Raw genomic sequence first — 17,213 nt, 5'->3', positions numbered from 1 at the left:
GTGCAGTGGCACGATCTCGGCTCACTGCAACCTCTGCCTCTGGGGCCCAAGCAATTCTCCTGCCTCAGCCTCCAGAGTAGGTGGGACTACAGGTGCGCCACCACGCCCAGATAATTTTTTGTATTTTAGTAGAGACGGGGTTTCACCATGTTGCCCAGGCTGGTCTGGAACTCCTGACCTCAGGTGATCCACCCGCCTCAGCTTCCCAAAGTGCTGGGATTACAGACATGAGCCACCGCGCCCAGACTATTTTGACCTTTTTCAAAACCACATTTGGTAGGTGTAATATCCTCAGTTTATATCTGAGGAAACTGAATAAGGCTGAAAAGAGGTAATTTACCCACAGCCATGATTGGTAGAGCTGCAATTTGCATCTAGGAGTGGTTTCATCCATATCTCTCCTGATTTACACTTTGCTCTTCCAGATCAGTGTTTCTCAGATAGTGGTCCCTGCCCTACAGGGGACATTTGGCAATGTCTGGAGACTTTTTTGGTTGTCACAACTGGGGGATGTTCCTGGCCTCTAAGGGTAAAAGCCAATGATGGCGTTCAACATTCCACAATGCGCAGGACAACTCCCCACAATAAAGAATTATCCAGGTCAAAGTGTCAATAGTGCCAAGATAAAGAAACTGTGCTCTAGAGCAGAGATTTTTGTTTGTTTCTGAGACAAGGTCTCGCTCTGTCGCCCAGGCTGCAGTGCAGTGGCAAGATCATGGCTCAGCCTAGACCTTCACTGGATCAAGTGATCCCTCCGCCTCAGCCTCCCGCGTAGCTGGGACTGAGAGGTGAGGTCATGCTGGCAGCCCTCGCAGCCCTCGCTCGCTCTCGGTGCCTCCTCGGCCTTGGCACCCACTCTGGCCGCGCTTGAGGAGCCCTTCAGCCCGCCGCTGCACTGTGGGAGTCCCTTTCTGGGCTGGCCACGGCCGGAACCGGCTCCCTCAGCTTGCGGGGAGGTGTAGAGGCAGAGGCACGGGCAAGAACTGGGGCTGCGCGCGGCGCTTGCGGGCCAGCGCGAATTGCGGGTGGGCGTGGGCTCAGCGGGCCCCGCACTTAGAGCGGCCGGCCCGCCGGCAAGCCCCGGGCAGTGAGGGGCTTAGCACCTGGGCCACCAGCTGCTGTGCTCGATTTCTCGCCGGTCTTAGCTGCCCCTCCGCGGAGAAGGGCTTGGGACCTGCAGCCCGCCATGCCTGAACCTCTCTGCCACCGCCGTGGGCTCCTGCGCAGCCGGAGCCTCCCCGACGAGCGCCGCTCCCTGCTCCAGGGCGCCCAGTCCCATCGACCGTCCGACGGCTGAGGAGTGCAGGCGCATGGCGGGGGACTGGCAGGCAGCCCCATCTGCGGCCACGGTGCAGAATCCACTGGGTGAAGCCAGCTGGGCTCCTGAGTCTGGTGGGGACTTGGAGAACCTTTATGTCTAGCCAAGGGATTGTAAATACACCAATCAGCACTCTGTATCTAGCTCAAGGTTTGTAAGCACACCAATCAGCACTCTGTGTCCAGCTCAGGGTTTGTGAATGCACCACTCCATACTCTGTTATCTAGCTAGTCTGGTGGGGACTTGGAGAATCTTTATGTCTAGCTAAGGGGAATGCACAAATCGGCACTCTGTATCTAGCTCAAGGTTTGTAAATGCACCAATCATCCCTCTATGTCTAGCTCAGGGTTTGTAAATACACCAATAGACACTCTGTATCTAGCTAATCTAGTGGGGAGGTGGAGAACTTTCGTGTCTAGCTCAGGGATTGTAAACGCACCAATCAGCACCCTGTCAAAATGGACCAATCAGCTCTCTGTAAAACAGACCAATCGGCTGTCTGTAAAATGGACCAATCAGCAGGATGTGGGTGGGGCCAGATAAGAAAATAAAAGCAGGCTGCCGGTGCTAGCAGTGATAACCTGTGCAGCTTGTTTCATATATTGTGGGAGCTTTGTTTGTTTGCTCCTTGTTTGGGTCCACAGTGCTTTTATGAGCTGTAATATTACCTGCAAAGGTCTGCAGCTTAAGTCCTGAAGCCAGCGAGACTACGAACCCACCGGGAGAAAGGAACAACTCCAGAAGCGCCGCCTTAAGAGCTGTAACAGTCACTGCGGAAGTGTGGAGTTTCACTTCTGAGCCGGTGACCATGAACCCACCAGAAGGAAGAAACGCGGAACACATCAGAACATTAGAAGGAACAAACTTTGGACACGTCGCCTTTAAGAACTGTGACACTCAACATGAGGGTCCTCGGCTTCATTCTTGAAGTCAGTGAGACTGAGAACCCACCAATCCCGGACACAGGACTACAGGCATGCACCGTCACGCAACGTTAATTTTTTTTTTTTGGTAGAGACAGTTTTGTGATGTTGCCCAGGCTGGTCTCCGGGGTTCAAGCCATTTTTCTGTCTCAGCCTCCCAAAGTGCTGGAATTACAGATGCGAGCCACTGTGCTTGGCCTGTATGTTACTTTAAGCCACTAAATGTATAGCAATTTATTGCACAGCAATAGAAAGCAGCCAGAAAGAAAAACATTTTTTGGTAAAGAAATGGGAACTCACTCTCACCCAAGCTGGAGTGCTGCTGTGACACGATCATAGCTAATTGTGGCTCTGAGTTCCTAGGGTCAAGAGATCCTTGCACCTCAGCCTCCCAATTAGCGGGGGCTAAAGGCACCACCATGCCATGCTAATTTTTAAAAAATTTTTTGTAGAGACAAGGATCTTGCTATGTTGCCCAGGCTGGTCTCAAACTCCTGGCCTCAAGCGATCCTCCCAGCTTGGCATTCGAAAGTGCTGGGGTTACAGGTATGAGTCACCCAGCTCACCTCGCCCGACCAAGAAAAACAACTGTTGGGGCTGAGCGCAGTGGCTCACTCCTGTAATCCCAGTATTTTGAGAGGCGGAGGCGGGTGGATCACCAGATCGGGAGTTTGAGAGCAGCCTGACCAACATGGTGAGAACCTGTGTCTTAAAAAAATACAAAAGTTAGCTGAGCGCAGTGGTGCGTGCTTATAGTCCCAGCTACTGGGGTGGCTGAGGCAGGAGAATCGCTTGAACCCAGGAAGCAGAAGTTGCAGTGAGCTGAGATCGCGCCACTGCACCCCAGCCTGGATGACAGAGCGAGATTCCGTCTCAAAAAAAAAAAAAAAATTTAACTCGCATAATCCACTGACCCACTGCTATCGCATACTACTTATTGTTTTATGATTTGTTAATTTTATTTTTTTTGAGACGGAGTCTTAGCTGGGCTGGAGTGCAGTGGCGCAATCTTGGCTCACTGCAACCTCCTCCTCCTGGGTTCAAGCAGTTCTCTGCCTCAGCCTCCCGAGTAGCTGAGATTATAGGTGCCCGCCACCACGCCCGGCTAATTTTTGTGTTTTAGTAGAGACGGGGTTTCACCATCTTGGCCTGGTTGGTCTTGAACTCAGGACCTTGTGATTCACCCACCTCGGCCTCCCAAAGTGCTGGGATTACAGGCGTGAGCCACCACGCCTGGCCATTTGTTAATTTTTCATTCATTAATATCCTCACCCGTCACTAAATATTTTATAATATAATTTTCTAAGAAATGTACAGGACTTTATGTATGGATGTAAATTTTAAGTTTTTTTCTCTTACACACATTGTAACTCAAGTAATCAAGTTTCCTTCCTGCTGGTAAGAAGCTCAGAGCCAAATTGTATGTCTGCCTCTGGCAATTGTACTTGACCTTGCCTTATTTTTGGCTTTATTTTATTCTTGCTGCTCTTGCTTACTTTACAGTGAATTTTTCCCTACCCACTTACTATTTAATTGTTGCACTAGCTGTATTTCTTTTTACACAGTTATAGATCTCTTATTTAAGGTTTTGTTATTGTTTATTCTTCTTGGGACAAGACCTTACATAACAAATTTGTTTTTTGAGATGGAGTCTTGGTCTGTCACCCAGGCTGGAGTGCAGTGGCGCGATCTCGGCTCACTGCAACCTCCGCCTCCCAGGTTCAAGCAATTCTGTCTCAGCCTCCAGAGTAGCTGGGATTACAGGTGCCTGCCACCACGCATGGCTAATTTTTGTATTTTTAGTAGAGACAGGATTTCACCATGTTGACCAGGCTAGTCTCGAACTCCTGACCTCAAGTGATCCGCCTGCTTCGGCCTCCCAAAGTGCTGGGATTACAGGCGTGAGCTACCGCGCCCCACCAACAAAGTATTTTTTAATGTGTATAATTTATAAGCTTTTTATTTTGACCTAATATTGGACTTAAAACCTGCAAAAATAGTAGAGTTTCTCTATATCCTTCACTTAGCATCCTCTAATGTTAACATTTTAGTTAATCGTAATACAATGATCAAAATCAAGAAATTAACATTGAGGCCTGGTGCCTGGCTCATGCCTGTAACTCTTAACACTTTGGGAGGTCAAGGTGGGTGGATTGCCTGAACTCAGGAGTTGATGAAGAGCCTGGCCAATGTGACAAAACCTCATCTCTACTAAAAATATAAATTAGCTGGGCATGGCGGTGCATGGATGTAGTCTCAGCTACTCACTGCCAGCTCCACCTCCCTGGATTCAAGGATTCTTGTGCCTCAGCCCTCCCTTGTAGCTGGGACTACAGGCGTGTGCCACCACACCCAGCTAATTTTTGTATTTTCAGTAGAGAAGGGTTTTGCCATGTTGCTCAATGTGGTCTTGAACTCCTGGGCTCAATTAATCCACCTGCCTCGGCCTCCCAAAGTGTTGGGATTACAGGCATGAGTCACCGTGTCCGGCCAGCCTTGACACTTTTTAAAGAGTATGTATGGGCTGGGCGCAGTGGCTCATGCCTGTAATCCCAGCACTCTGGGGGGCTGAGGCAGGTGGATCACCTGAGGTCAGGAGTTTGACACCAGCCTGGCCAATGTGGTGAAACCCTGTCTGTACTGACAATACAAAAAATTAGCTGGGTGTGGTGGTGGACGCCTGTAATTCCAGCTACTCGGGACGCTGAGGCAGGAGAATCTCTTGAACCCAGGAGGAGGAGGTTGCAGTGAGTCAACATCGTGCAACTGCACTCCAACCTGGGTGACAGAGCGAAATTCCATCTCAAAAAAAAAAAAAAAAGTATCGATAGAATATATTTCTCAAAGGTCTGTCTCGTTGGTTTGTCTTACATTTGCTTAGAATTGGACTGATGTTCTAGATGCATTTTTGTAAGCTGCACCAGCTGAGATAGCAATAAGCAAACTAAGAGGTTCTTGCCTATCTTGCAGTCTGAGGCTCAGTGAGGTAACCCGACTCATTAAACATCACCTGACCCAGATGACCTTGCATGGTCAGAGGCTCAGCCAAGGCACCACACTGGGGTACTGAAGCTGAATGAAAGCAGGCTGCAGGTAATAACTCCTATCTGGACCTAGAACACTTTTGGAAATAAGTAGTACTCCTCGTGTCCTCTGTTCTCTTCAGGCCAGATTGCAGAGATTTGAATTTCTCTAGGATGTCAGTTGATGGTGGAGGCAGACAGGCCTGAGGTAGAATTTCTATTTCTCTGTGACCTTGGGCAATTTAACTTCTCTGAGTTTCAGTTACCCCGTTTGTAAAAATGGTAATACTGTAATAATAAATGCTATGACAAGTTTAAAACCCCTCGTAAACCATAATTAATATTTATCGGCCGGGCGCGGTGGCTCATGCCTGTAATCCCAGCATTTTGGGAGACTGGGGTGGATCACCTCAGGTCGGGAGTTCAAGACCAGCCTGACCAACATGGAGAAACCCCGTCTCTATTAAAAACACAAAATTAGCCGGGCGTGGTGGCATGTGCCTGTAATCCCAGCTACTAGGGAGGCTGAGGCAGGAAAATCTCTTGAACCTGGGAGTCAGAGGTTGCAGTGAGCCGAGATCACACCATTGCACTCCAGCCTGGGCAACGAGTGAAACTCCGTCTAAAAAAAAAAAAAAAAAAATTATCAAGCACCTCCTATGTCCAAGGTGCTGTGTTACCTCAAAAAGATTTTTTACCATTTCCTGGCCTTCGTTCCATCATCACTTAAAAAGGAGAGAATAAGAAATGGGGGCAAGGCACAGTGGCTCCCCTGTAATCCCAGCACTTTGGGAGGCCAAGGAGGGAGGATTACTTGAGCCCAGCAGTTTGAGACGAGCCTGGGCAATATGGCAAAACCCCGTCTCTACTAAAAATATAAAAAATTAGGCCAGACGCAGTGGCACACACCTGTAATCCCAGCACTTTGGGAGGCTGAGCCAGGTGGATTACCTGAGGTCAGGAGTTCAAGACCAGCCTGACCAACATGGTGAAACCCCGTCTTTACTAAATACAAAAAAATTAGCCAGGTGTGGTGGCTCATGCCTGTAATCTGAGCTACTTGGGAGATTGAATCACTTGTACCTGGGAGGCTGAGGTTGCAGTGAGCTGAGGTTGCGCTATTGCACTCCAGCCTGGGCAATAAGAGCAAAACTCCATCTCAACAACAACAACAGCCGGGCGCGGTGGCTCACGCCTGTAATCCCAGCACTTTGGGAGGCCCAGGCGGGTGGATCACGAGGTCAGGAGATCAAGACCATCCTGGCTAACACAGTGAAACCCCGTCTCTACTAAAAATACAAAAAATTAGCCGGGCGAGGTGGCAGACGCCTGTAGTCCCAGCTACTCGGGAGGCTGAGGCAGGAGAATGGCGTAAACCCCGGGGGGCAGAGCCTGCAGTGAGCCGAGATCGCGCCACTGCACTCCAGCCTGGGCGACAGAGCGAGACTCTGGCACAAAAACAACAACAACAACAACAACAAAATTAGCTGGACATGGTGGTGCGAGCCTGCAGTCCCAGCTACTCTGAAGGCTGACATGGGAGGATCGCTTGAGCCCAAGAAGTCCAGGCTGCAGTGAGCTGAGATTGCACCACTACACTTCAGCCTGGGCAATGGGAGTGAGATCTTGTCTCGAAAAAAAATAATAATTATTTTATTTTTTTGAGATGGAGTCTCATTTTGTCACCCAGGCTGGAGTGCAGTGGCATGATCTCGGCTTGCTGCAACCTCTGCCTCCTGGTTTGAAGTGATTCTCCTGCCTCAGCCTCCCAAGTAGCTGGGACTACAAGCGTGCACCACCACGCCTGGCTAATTTTGTATTTTTAGTAGACACTGGATTTCACCATGTTGGCCAGGATGGTCTCAAACTCCTGACCTCAAGTGATCTGCCTGCCTCCACCTCCCAAAGTGCTGGGATTACAGGCATGAGCTACCCTGCCCACCCAAAAGAAATAAAAATAATTTTAAAAAAGAAATGGAGGCCAGGCATGGTGGCACATGCCTGTAATCCCAGCTACTTAGGAGGCTGAGGCAGGGGAATCGTTTGAACCCACGAGGCAGAGGTTGCAGTGAGCCGAGACCGCGCCATCGCACTCCAGCCTGGGCAACAGAGTGAGACTCCATCTCAAAAAAAAAAAAAAAAAAAAAGAAATGGAATTTCAAATAGTAAATCCATCCTAAAAGCACAAATTTATTGAATTGTTACTGAATGCTCTTTTTTTTTTTTTCTTGAGACGGAGTTTCGCTCTTGTTGCTCAGGCTGAAGTGCAGTGGCACGATCTCAGGTCACTGCAACCCGCCTTCTGGGTTCAAGCGATTCTCCTGCCTCAGCCTCCCAAGTAGCTGGGATTACAGGCATGCACCACCATGCCTGGCTAATTTTGTATTTTTAGTAGAGACGGGGTTTTTCCACGTTGGTCAGGCTGGTCTCGAACTCCCAGCCTCAGGTGATCCTTCTGCCTTGGCCTCCCAAAGTGCTGGGATTATAGGCATGAGCCACCACGCCCGGCAATTTTTGCATTTTTGTAGAGATAAGAGTTTTGCCATGTTGCCCAGGCTGGTCTTGAACTCTTGGGTTCAAATGATCTGCCCACCTCGGCCTCCTACAGAGCTAAGATTACAGGTGTGAGCCATTGCACCCAGTCTAAATGTCCCCTGTTCACAAGGACATTAGTCATACTGGATTAGGGCTCACCCTAATGACCTAATTTTAATTTTATTACTTCTTTCAAGACCCTATTTCCAAATAAGGTCACATTCCGAGGTACTAGGGGTTAGGACTTCAACATCTCTTTTTGAGGAAACACAATTCAACCCATAGCTCCCTGCTTGCAGGAGTGGACTCAAGTGGCCATATTTATGCTGGGGAGGACCAGGAATGTCATATTTATTTGTTTGTTTGTTTTTTGAGACAGAGTCTAGCTCTGTCACCCAGGCTGGAGTGCAGTGGCACCATCTCGGCTCGCTGCAACCTCCACCTCCCAGGTTCAAGTGCTGCTTCTGCCTCAGCCTCCCAAGTAGCTGGGATTACAGGCATGGGCCACCAAGTCTGGGTAATATTTGTATTTTTAGTAGAGACCGGGTTTCACCACGTTGTCCAGGCTGGTCTCAAACTCCTAACCTCAGGTGATCCACCCACCTCAGCCTCCCAAAGTGTTGGGATCATAGGCGTGAGCCACCACTCCTGGCCAGCCTCCCTCATTTAAATGTCATATTTTACAAGAAGGATGCCATGCTGTAAACTTAACATGATTCAAAACTTTGTGTTCCAAGAATACGAGTAGGAGATGAAATGCACTCACATAACTCATAAATCTGCACAACCATCTGACCACATTTTTGCTTTTGATCCTGCTTTGTATCTTTGCAGCATTATCTGTACCTGCGGGCAGTCTCCTAAATTAACAGCACCACCTGTCATGGAGGTGGTTTGGTCTTCTTCATGGTGTCTCATCATGTCCAATATCCACTCCAAAGGTGTTGATTTGAGGACATGCTTTTCAGCACTAGCCCCTCTCCTTCAGGAATGCTTGAATGATGTTGTTGTATCCTTTTTCTTATTTGTTTGTTTTTGTTTTTTCTGAGATAGAGTCTTGCTCTGTCACCCAGGCTGGAGTGCAGTGGCACAATCTCAGCTCATTGCAACCTCCATCTCCTGGATTCAAGCAATTCTCCTGCCTCAGCCTCCTGAGTAGCTAGGATTACAGGCATGTGCCACCACACCCAGCTAATTTTTGTATTTTTAGTAGAGACCAGGTTTCACCATGTTGGCCAGGCTGGTCTCGAACTCCTGACCTTGTGATCCGCCTCTCTTGGCCTCCCAAAGTGCTGGGATTACAGGCATGAGCCACCGCGCCTAGTCTTGTTATAGCCTTTTAAAGTGGTTTATAATAACAGTGTCTGGCCAAATAATAGCACAAAAAAACAATTGCTAGTGTCCCAAGCACGTCAACAACCGTGTGATTTGCTCAGTAATGACAGGATGTGGGCATTTGCTTCCTTGCTAAAGTGGCGCCACCTTGTGGCAATAGCATAAACACAGTTTATAATCCACTCCACCAGCTTTGAAATTGTTCTATACTTAACAGGTTAATTTTTTCCCCTAGCATTTGTATTATTTATAATCTATACGCGGAGTGGAACTTTTTGTTCTTTTTTTTTTTTTTTTTTTGAGACGGAGTCTCGCTCTGTCGCCCAGGCCAGACTGCGGACTGCAGTGGCGCAATCTCGGCTCACTGCAAGCTCCGCTTCCCGGGTTCACGCCATTCTCCTGCCTCAGCCTCCCGAGTAGCTGGGACTACAGGCGCCCGCCACCGCGCCCGGCTAATTTTTTGTATTTTTAGTCGAGATGGGGTTTCACTTTGTTAGCCAGGATGGTCTCGATCTCCTGACCTCATGATCCACCCGCCTCGGCCTCCCAAAGTGCTGGGATTACAGGCGTGAGCCACCGCGCCCGGCCTTTGTTCATTTTTTTTTTGAGTCAGAGTCTCGCTCTGTTGCCCAGGCTGGAGTACAGTGGCATGATCTCGGCTCACTGCAACCTCTGCCTCCATCTCGGCTCACTGCAACCTCTGCCTCCTGGGTTCAAGCGATTCTCCTGCCTCAGCCTCCTGAGTAGCTGGGATTACGGGCGCACACCACCACACCTGGCTAATTTTTGTATTTTTAGTAGAGATGGAGTTTCACCATGTTAGTCAGGCTGGTCTTGAACTGCTGACCTCAAGTGATCCACCTGCCTTAGCCTCCCAAAGTGCTGGGATTACAGGCGTGAGCCACCTCGCCTGGCCTGTTAATGTTTTTATGTGGCACTCTGTCAAAGGCACATGATTCATATCTGTATATGATGCATAGTCCAGAAAGGCTGGGACTTAGCTCTGTGGCTCTTGCCCCAGGTGAGACATAAAAGCTTTCTTGTCCCTTTCCCTCCTGTTTGGGGTCCCATAAGAACTGAAGGGTACAGTTCTCAGACAGCAGTTGGGTCTGAGCATAAAAGCCCATTAATAAGGAGCAGGTGACACTGCCACAGCTGGGTAATTTGTCTCTTTGCTCGTCTGCAGCCCATTTGGTGATGATCTATTTGTCTGAGGGAATGGATGATGGCAGGTTTGTCAATATTTTACACTTATGAACCTGCCTGTTCTTCTCTGCCTGGCTCTGCCCAACTGTCTTTGTCCCTGGCTCCTCTCATTTCGTTTTGCAGATTGGATAACGGACTTCGGCAAAGAGTTATGAAGGTGGATTCCATGAGGGCAGCTTTGGGAAGGGAAGAGGGCAGGAGAGGAGGGGTCGGCTCTCTGCAGGGAGAGGAGGGGTGGGTGGGAGACATGTTCAGGAGAAAAAGATGTCACAGACATAGTGGTGGGCAGAAAGGAACTTCAGAGAGAGAGAGATCCTAGGACAGAGGACAGTGGGGACTCTGGGGAGGCCTTGTAGAAGACAGCTTGAAGAACTGAGTCCAACCCTAATAATTAAGTTGGGCCTAGTACAAAAGCTAATTGTGCTAGCCAGCCTCCAGGATGTCCCACGTGACTCTCGCATGTTGATATTTACACCTATTGGTTAGACATGCAGCCCTGCTCACGTATTGATATTTATATTCTGAGCATGGATGGCGCATGCCTGCAGTCCTAGTGACTCAGGAGGCTGAGTCAGGGGGACTGCTTGAGCCCAGGAGTTGGAGACTTCAGTGAGCTATGATTGTGCCACTGCACTCCAGCCTGGGCAACAGAACAAGACCCTGACTCCTGCAGAGGAGGGCTCCATGTCCAACCAATGGGATGTACAAAAACGACAGTGTGACTTCCAAGGTCAGATCACAAAAGTCCTTGAAGGTTTCACCTTACTGGATCACTTGCTCTGGGGGAAGCCAGCCGCCATGTGGTGAAGACACTCAAGCAGCCCTCTGGAGAAGCCCATGTAGCAAGGAACTGAGGTCTCCTGCCAACTACCAGCGCTAACTTGCCAGGCATGTGAATGACTCACCGTGGAAGGGGATTCTCCAGCCTTGGTCAAGTCTTCAGATGACTACTAACCCAAGCCAATATCTTGATTACAGCCTTGTGAGACCCCCAGAGAAGGAACCGCCCCAGCTAACCACCCACTCCAGAATTCCTGACCCTCAGGAACTGTGTGAGATCATAAATGCTGATTGTTTCAAGCTGCTAAGATTTGGGGTAATTTATTCCATAGTAATTGGAAATTGTCTAAATCTCTATTTGTGGAATTTTTCTTTTTTTCTTTTTTTTTTTTTTAAAGACAAGATCTCCCTCTGTTGCCCAGGCTGGAGTGGCATGGCATGATCATGGCTCACTGAAGCCTTGACTTCTTGGGCTTAGGCAATACTCTGGCCTCAGCCTCCCGAGTAGCTGGGACTACAGGCACACACCACCAGCTAATATTTTAAAATTATTTTTATAGAGATGGGGTCTTCCTATGTTACCCAGGCTGGTCTTAAACTCTGGCCTCAAGTGATCCTCCTGCCTCAGCTTCCCAAAGTGCTGGGATTATAGGTGTGAGCTACTGTGCTCAGCCACATTTTTACTGGTGGAATTTTTTTTTTTTTTTTTTTTTTGGAGACAGGGTCTGACTCTGTCACCCAGGCTGGAGTGCAGTGATATGATATTGGCTTACTGCAACCTCCGCCTCCTGGATTCAAGCCATCCTCCCACCTCAGCCTCCTGAATTGCTGGGACTACAGGTGTGCACCACCACACCCAGTTAATGTTTGCATTTTTTGTAGAGATGGGGTTTTGTCATGTTGCCCAGGTTGGTCTCGAACTCCTGAGCTCAAAGCTATCTGCCCACCTCGGCCTCCCAAAGTGGGATTACAGGCATGAGCTATCCCACCCGGCCTATTGATGGAATTTTATCCTAACTGGTTTGCTGACCAGAATACAGCAACTGGTTTGCTACACAGAATGAATGGTCTGTGGGTAAGGACAGTTCACATCAGGTGCCCAGTTAACCAGCATTGTATGTCACTGAGTGCCACAAAGAGAGCCCAGTTCCACCCTCACTCTTTTTTTTTCTTTTTCTTTTTTTTTTTTTTTTGAGATGGAGTTTTGCTCTTGTTGCCCAGGCCGGAGTGCAATAGCGCACTCTGGGCTCACCACAACCTCCGCCTCCCAGGTTCAAGCGATTCTCCTGCCTCAGCTTCTCGAGTAGCTGGGATTACAGGCACGTGCCACCATGCCCAGCTAATTTTGTAGTTTTAGTAGAGACGGGGTTTCTCCACATTGGTCAGGCTAGTCTCGAACTCCTGACCTCAGGTGATCTGCCCACCTTGGCCTCCCAAAGTGCTGGAATTACAGGCGTGAGCCACCGTGCCCGGCATACCCCTTTTCTTTTAGAGTGAACGTCTTGTTCTGTTGTTCAGGCTGGAGTGCAGTGGCATGACCATAGCTCACTGCAGCCTCCAACTCCTGGGCTCAAGCAGTGCTCCCACCTCAGCCTCCTGAATAGCTGGGACTACAGGCACACATTACCATACCCAGTTCATTTTTAAAAATTTTTAGTAGAGACAAGGGTCTCACTATGTTGCCCAGGTTGGTCTTGAAATCCTGGCCTCAAGTAATCCTCCTGCCTGGGCCTCCCAGTGTGCTGCGATTACATGTGTGAGCCACTGAGCTTGGACCCCATCCCTGCTCTCTTTCTTCCTTTCCTTTTCCTTTTCCTTTCCTTTCTGTCTTTCTTTCTTTTGTTTTTTTGTTTTGTTTTGTTTTTTTGACACGGAGTCTTGCTGTGTTGCCCAGGCTGGAGTGTAGTGGCATGATCTTGGCTCATTGCAACCTCCACCTCCTAGGTTCAACTGATTATCCTGCCTCAGCCTCCCGAGTAGCTGGGACCACAGGCACCTGCCACCACACCCGGCTAATTTTTGTATTTTTGGTAGAGATGAGGTTTCACCACATTGGCCAGGCTGGCCTTGAACTCCTGACCTCAGGTGATCCACCCACCTCGGCCTCCCAAAGTGCTGGGATTACAGGCGTGAGCTACCTCGCCCAGACCCCAGCTCCCTTTCAAGGAGGGTAAATAGGGCCAGGCACGGTGGCTCACGCCTGTAATCCCAGCACTTTGGGAGGCCAAGGCGGGCGGATCACGAGGTCAGGAGATCGAGACCATCCTGGCTAACACAGTGAAACCCCGTCTCTACTAAAAATACAAAAAAAAATTAGCTGGGCGTGGTGGTGGGCACCTGTAGTCCCAGCTAGACGGGAGGCTGAGGTAGGAGAATGGCCTGAACCTGGGAGGCAGAGCTTGCAGTGAGCCGAGATTGCGCCACTACACTCCAGCCTGGGCAACAGAGCGAGACTCCATCTCAAAAAAAAAAAAAAAAAAAAAAAAAAGGAGGGTAAATAGATTTAGTTAAGCAAGGAAAAGATTCTGGGATGGAGTGGGTATATCTCCTGGGGAGAGAACTAGGGCCGTAATTGGGGTGACCAAAGGTTCTGGCTTGTCCAGGACTGAGGGGTTTTCTGGGATGGAGGACTTTCAGTGCTAAAACTGAGAAAGTCCAGGATAAACTGGGATATGTGGTTGCCCTAGCTGAGGTGGGAGTAGGGGCCTTGAGGTTGCCCTTCTAGTCAGCGGCCACACTGTGGTTCATGTGGGTTGGGGAGGGATGCCCATATCCCATCTCTCCCAGGCAGGGGTGGAAGCATGCTCCCAGCACCACCTTTTTTCACCCTCCTGCCCTATTTGGCTGGACAGAGATGGAAAACCCTTCTTAGAAATGCTAAGACCCACAGGAGGAGGCTGCAGGTCAGTCCTCCCTCATTCTCCTCACCTGGGAGGCAGTGTGAGGCAGCCAGGAATGCCAAGGCTTTGGTGAGAGCCTCTCACCCTAAACCACCAAGGCCGGCTCCTCCCTGTCCTTGGGTCCAGCTTGCTGTGGCCTGACTGCCAAATGCCCTCTACCACATAGCCAACGTGCTGCTACTCGGCCTCTGTTGACACAATTCAATGACATGCCACCAAGGCAGCCCATTCCATTGTTAGAAAATTATTCCAGCCAGGTGCGGTGGCTCACACTTGTAATTCCAGCACTTTGGGAGGCTGAGGTGGGTGGATCATTTGAGGTCAGGAGTTCAAGACCGGCCTGGCCAATGTGGTGAAATCCCATCTCTACTAAAAATACAAAAATTAGCTGGATGTGGTAATGCAAGCCTGTAATCCCAGCTATGCGGGAGGCTAAAGCAGGATAATCGCTTGAGCCTAGGAGGTGGAGGTTGCAGTGAGCTGAGATCACGCCATTGCACTCCAGCCTGGGCGACAGAGTGAGACCCTGTCTCAAAAAAAAAAAAAAAAAAAAGAGAAACAAAATTATTCCTGTACTGAATGAGAGGCTGCCATCACATAATCTCCACCCATTCATTATATTCAACTGTGCTTTCTTCCTGGAAGAGCCCTCAACACACACCCCTCATTTTTTTTTTTTTTTTTTTTTTTTTGAGACAGAGTATTGCTGTCACCCAGGCTGGAGTGCAGTGGCACAATCTCCACTCACTGCAACCTCTGCCTCCTGGGATCAAGCCATTCTCATACTTCAGCCTCCAGAGTAGCTGGGACCACAGGTGTGGCTACCATGACTGGCTAACTTTTTGTATTTTTAATAGAGATCGGGTTTTGCCATGTTGGCCAGACTGGTCTCAAACTCTTGGCCTTAATTGATCCACCTGCCTCGGCCTCCCAAAGTGCTGGGATTACAGGCGTGAGCCACCGCGCCTGGCCTCTGGCAGCCCCTTCACATACTGAGTACACATTGCTTCCTCTGAGTTTCCGCTGGTCCTTCCCTCTCTCCTGGCAGACTCCTACTCATCCTTTGAAGCTCAGGTCCAAAGTCAGGTTGGCGGAGGTGGTCACTTCCACCACTCCACAGTCAGTCTGCCACGCTGGGTTCCTAAGGAAAGAGCTGCTCCCACCACATGACACCATTTGCTGTGCTTCCATCAACCCACCTGGGTTTTTCCTGAGTGGCTTTGACTGGGGACTCTGCTAAGATCATACTGACTTTGATTTTTTTTTTTTTTTCGAGATGGAATCTCTATCACCCAGGCTGGAGTGCAGTGGCGCGATCTTGGCTCACTGCAACCTCTGCCTCCTGGGTTTAAGCCATGTTCCTGACTCAGTCTCCGGAGTAGCTGGGGTTACAGGTGTGCGTCACCATGCCATGCCTGGCTAATTTTTGTATTTTTATTTTTTATTTTATTTATTTGTTTGTTTTGTTGAGACGGAGTTTCGCTCTTGTTTCCCAGGCTGGAGTGCAATGGCGCGATCTTGGCTCACTAAAATCTCTGCCTCCTGGGTTCAAGTGATTCTCCTGCCTCAGCCTCCTGAGTAGCTGGGATTGCAGGCACATGCCACCACATCCGGCTAATTTTTATATTTTTAGTAGAGATGGGGTTTCATCATATTGATCAGGCTGGTCTCGAACCCCTGACCTCAGGTGATTCCCCTGCCTTGGCCTCCCAAACTGCTGGGATTACAGGCATGAGCCACTGCGCCCGGCCTAATTTTTGTATTTTTAGTAGAGATGGGGTTTCACCATGTTGGCCAGGCTGGTCTCGAACTCCTGACCTCAGGTGATCCACCCACCTTGGCTTCCCAAAGTGCTGGATTTACTGGCATGAGCCACCGCACCCAGCCTGATTTATTTATTTAATTAAAAAATCATAACTCACTACAGCCTGGACCTCCTACCTCAAGTGATTTTCCTGCCTCAGCCTCCTGAGTAGCTGGGACTACAGGTGTGTGCTACCATGCTCAGCTAATTTTTTGAATTTTCATAGATCCTCCTGCCTTGGCCTCCCAAAGTGCTGGGATTACAGGCATGAGCCACCACACGTGGTCCTAATCTTAAAATTATTATTATTTTTTTATAGAGACTGGGTCTTGCTCTGTTGCCCAGGCTGGAGCGCAGTGGTGCAATCATGGCCTGGCCTCCACTCCCCCCATGCCAAGCATAACAGGAGGCAACCACTAGTCAGTGGGTGGACATTCTTTTGGGGAGCTGTCCCTGCCCCTTTGGAAGTGGATAGAGCCCCTGCCCCCTGTGGGGTCTGCAGGCTCTCCACCCCTGCCAATGTCTGTGATCTGGGGGATTGTGGGCTGAGAAGGGATTAGTTTAGAGGGCGGGCAAAAGAGCTGGGCAGGGCAGAAAGAGGCCCCAGGATTTTCAGGCAGAGAAGTCAAAGGGGGATGAAAAGGGGAAAGGAGATGGTGGAGATAAAGTGTCTGCAGCTGACAGCCTTGCCCCTGTCTTCACTTGTAAGGAAGTTTGTTTCTTTGATGGTGATAAACCTGGCATGTGAATGCCTTTCCCCAGAGAATGCACCACAGAGGAGCACGTAACGTTGTATACAATTTCAGGGGGCTTACTGATGCAACCCCTTTGCAGAAATTTTAACAGTGAGAAAATTATGACAGTGAAAGTGATCTGACCTAACCGACTCCATTTTGCTTCTAACCCCCAAACTGTCCATATTCATTCCTGGGCATAGGCCAAACTTACAGTCTTTTTGTTTGTTTTTTGAGACGGAGTTTCGCTCTTGTTGCCCAGGCTGGAGTGCAGTGGCGCGATCTCGGCTCACTGCAACCTCTGCCTCCAGGGTTCAAGAGATTCTCCTGCCTCAGCCTCCCGAGTAACTGGGATTACAGGTGCCCGCCACCATGCCTGGCTAATTTTTTTGTATTTTTAGTAGAGACGGGGTTTCACCCTGTTGGCCAGGCTGGTCTTGAACTCTTGACCTAAACTTCTGATCCACCTTTGCCTCCCAAAATGCTGGGATTACAGGCATGAGCCACCATGCCCGGCAGCAAATTTATAGTTCAACTTTGAAACAAAGATAACAGCCCTCTCCCAAAATAAACCCCTTTCTTGCCTGGGGACCAGACTGCTTTTGTAAGACTAACAAATTAGCCACGAGATTAGAAATTACGGTTTAGGAGTCAT

General features: G+C 49.3%; 1 annotated feature.

The window, feature by feature from the left end:
• Positions 9,245-9,294: a silencer, noted in NCBI's record as "silent region_13594". NCBI's record gives its function as "represses an Ori minimal core promoter by ATAC-STARR-seq in GM12878 lymphoblastoid cells {active_cell/tissue: GM12878}" and the evidence as "EXISTENCE:reporter gene assay evidence [ECO:0000049][PMID:35858748]".

This window comes from Homo sapiens, chromosome 22 (genome assembly GCF_000001405.40).
Source record: "Homo sapiens chromosome 22, GRCh38.p14 Primary Assembly".
Taxonomy (NCBI): Eukaryota; Metazoa; Chordata; class Mammalia; order Primates; family Hominidae; genus Homo; species Homo sapiens.
The sequence above is the reverse complement of the archived record's forward strand: the minus strand, read 5'-3'. Positions and strand labels throughout refer to the sequence as shown.